General features: G+C 54.3%; 1 annotated feature.

The window, feature by feature from the left end:
- Positions 974-1,174: a silencer, noted in NCBI's record as "peak2225 fragment used in MPRA reporter construct". NCBI's record gives its function as "represses an SCP1 promoter by STARR-seq MPRAs in K562 erythroleukemia cells {active_cell/tissue: K562}" and the evidence as "EXISTENCE:reporter gene assay evidence [ECO:0000049][PMID:32103011]".

Genomic DNA, 2,270 nt, shown 5'->3' with positions numbered 1-2,270 from the left:
GCTCTCGGCGCCTCCTCGGCCTTGGCGCCCGCTCTGGCCGCGCTTGAAGAGCCCTTCAGCCCGCCGCTACACTGTGGGAGCCCCTTTCTGGACTGGCCGAGGCCGGAGACGACTCCCTCAGCTTGCGGGGAGGTGTGGCGGGAGAGGCGCGGGCGGGAACCGGGGCTGTGCGCGGGAACCGGGGCTGCGCGCGGGAAGCGGGGTTGCGCGCGGTGCTTGCGGGCCAGCTCGAGTTCCGGGTGAGCGTGGGCTCGGCGGGCCCCGCACTCAGAGCGGCCGGCCGGCCCTGCTGGCCCCGGGCAATGAGGGGCTTAGCATCCGGGCCAGCGGCTGGGGAGGGTGTGCTGGGTCCCCCAGCAGTGCCGGCCCACCAACGCTGCGCTCGATTTCTCGCCGGGCAGGGCTCCGGACCTGCGGCCTTCCATGCCTGAGCCTCCCCGCCCTCCGTGGGCTCCTGTGCGGCCCGAGCCTCCCAGAGGAGCGCCGCGCCCGGTTCCACGGCGCCCAGTCCCATCGACCACCCAAGGGATGAGGAGTGCGGGCGCACAGCGCGAGACTGGCAGGCAGCTCCACCTGCAGCCCCAGTGCAGGATCCACTGAGTGAAGCCAGCTGGGCTCCTGTCTAGCTCAAGGTTTGTAAACACGCCAATCAGCACCCTGTGTCTAGCTCAGGGTTTGTGAATGCACCAATCGACACTGTATCTAGCTACTCTGGTGGGGACTTGGAGAACCTTTGTGTCACACTCTGTATCTAGCTAATCTAGTGGGGATGTGGAGAACCTTTATGTCTAGCTAAGGGATTGTAAATACACCCATCGGCACTCTGTATCTAGCGCAAGGTTTGTAAACACACCAATCAGCACCCTGTGTCTAGCACAGAGTTTGTGAATGCACCAATTGACACACTGTATCTAGCTACTCTGGTGGGGACATGGAGAACCTTTGTGTGGACACTGTGTATCTAGCTAATCTAGTGGGGAAGTGGAGAACTTTTGTGTCTAGCTCAGGGATTGTAAACGCACCAATCAGCACCCTGTCAAAACGGACCAATCAGCTCTCTGTAAAATGGACCAATTGGCTCCCTGTAAAATGGACCAATCAGCAGAATGTGGGAGGGGCCAGATAAGAGAAATAAAAGCAGGCTGCCTGAGCCAGCAGTGGCAACCTGCTCAGGTCTACTTGCACATTGTGGTAGTTTTGTTGTTTCCTGCTCTCAGTAGTAAATCTTGCTGCTGCTTGTTTTTTGGGTCCACATTGCCTTTATGAGCTGTAACAGTCACTTCCAAGGCCTGCAGCTTCTCTCCTGAGGCCAGCGAGACCACGAACCCACCCGGAGGAACGAACAACTCCAGATGCGCCACCTTAAGAGCTGTAACACTCACTGTGAAGGTCTGCAGCTTCACTCCTGAAGCCAGCGAGACCACGAACACACCAGAAGGAAGAAACTCCGAACGCATGTGAACATCAGAAGGAACAAACTCAGGACATGCGACCTTTAAGAACTGTAACACTCATCGCGAGGGTCTGCAGCTTCATTCTTGAAGTCAATGAGACCAAGAACCCACCAATTCCCACCACAATTCTACTGTATTAGTCTGGGTCTTCCAGAGGAACAGGACCAACAGGTCTCTCTCTCTCTCTCTCTCTCTCTCTCTCTGTCTCTCTCTCTCTCTCTCTCTCTCTGTCTCTCTCTCTCTCTGTCTCTCTCTCTGTCTCTCTGTCTCTCTCTCTCTCTGTCTCTGTCTGTCTCTCTCTCTCTCTCTCTCTGTCTCTCTCTGTTTCTCTCTCTCTCTCTCTCCCTCTCTCTCTCTCTCTCTCTCTCTCTCTCCGCATACATAGAGAGGTTATGAGGAATGGCCTGTAGCTTACACAGTTAGGGAGGCTGAGAAGCCCTACAACCTTGCTGTTGGGGAGATGGAGACCCAGAAGAGCTGATGATATGTGCAGCTCCCATTTTTGTCCAAATGACTGAGAGCCAGGAGAATAAGGTACGTTTCAGTTTGAGTCCAAGTCTGAAGCCAGAAGACCAATGTCTCAGCTCAAAGTCAGTCAGGAAAAGTAAGCAAATTCTTCTTTATTGAGCCTTTTGTTGTGCGTAGACCCTCAGTGGATTATATAAGGCCCAACCACATTAGGGAAGGCAATCTGCTTTGTTCAGTTTATACATTCAAATGTAAATCTCATCCAGAAACACCCTCACAAATAAACCCAGAATAATATTTAAACAAATGCGTGTGTACTATGTGACCTAGTGAGGCTGACACCTAAAA

Source organism: Homo sapiens, chromosome 14, assembly GCF_000001405.40.
Source record: "Homo sapiens chromosome 14, GRCh38.p14 Primary Assembly".
NCBI lineage: Eukaryota > Metazoa > Chordata > Mammalia > Primates > Hominidae > Homo > Homo sapiens.
This window is presented reverse-complemented; position numbering and strand designations above follow the sequence as displayed.